The sequence below is a fragment of the Homo sapiens genome, chromosome 3, assembly GCF_000001405.40.
Source record: "Homo sapiens chromosome 3, GRCh38.p14 Primary Assembly".
NCBI lineage: Eukaryota > Metazoa > Chordata > Mammalia > Primates > Hominidae > Homo > Homo sapiens.
Window position 1 is genome coordinate 100,209,296 of NC_000003.12, and position 953 is coordinate 100,210,248.

General features: G+C 42.5%; 1 annotated feature.

Annotated features, from left to right (window-relative positions):
- Positions 686-735: a silencer, noted in NCBI's record as "silent region_14569". NCBI's record gives its function as "represses an Ori minimal core promoter by ATAC-STARR-seq in GM12878 lymphoblastoid cells {active_cell/tissue: GM12878}" and the evidence as "EXISTENCE:reporter gene assay evidence [ECO:0000049][PMID:35858748]".

Consider the following 953-nt stretch of genomic DNA (forward strand, 5'->3'; position numbering starts at 1 on the left):
ATTTACTTTTGAGACAGGGTCTTGCTCTGTTGCCCAGGCTGGAGTACAGTGGCGCAGTCACATCTCATTGCAGTCCTGACCTCCTGGATTCAGGTGATCTTCCCACCTCAGTCTCTCAAGTAGCTTGGACTATAGGCACTCACTACCATGCCCAGCTAATTCTCTCTCTCTTTTTTTTTTTCAGAGATGGGGTCTCCCTTGTTGCCCAGGCTGACACATGCTTAAATATAAGAGTCTGAATTTTTTCACTTAATGTAAAAATACAAATGTAGTTCTTGATTTGAAAACAAACAGGCTTTAACTTTAGCATGGCACCAAACACTACCTTTAAGAAATTATATATTTAAATACAATTTACACTAACTCTGGTCTTTAGATTTAATTTTCAAGTCTCCTCCTGATTCTCCCTGAGGTAGCATTCTCTGGAGGCAGAATCATTCCAGGCCTTTTACACGACTTTGAAATTGCAGCCCAGTTAGCACCGCTGTGTTCATCCTCCCAAGGCTCCTGGCTAGTTGTTCAATGGGACCCCCAATGGGTCAATTTTAACACAAAATTGTCCACCTCCTTAGTTTCTTTACCTTTCAGGGAGGCTGAATAAGAAATTCTTGAGGAGAAGGGAATGATGGCATGTGCTCCAGTTCCCTGCTCCAACTTTTCTTCTTTTCCATCCTAGAACAGGTATGTGGACATTTCCATTCTGACAGGGAAGTGGGAGCATTTCTCAGTCAGAAAGGCCCCCACTGATGAGACATGATCTCTGCCTCTCAGCTTTTTGTCTCCTTTTGTTTACTGACCAGGAGGAGGTATGACTTCAGTTAGTCCCTTTAGCAGGGTGTCTAGTTCTATGAAAATGAAAATGAAAGCCACAAATTGCCTCTCATGGAGCATTATAGGTACAGATCAAAGAGTAAACCCTTTGAATAAGAATTTCAGCAAACTCCTCTCTCCCT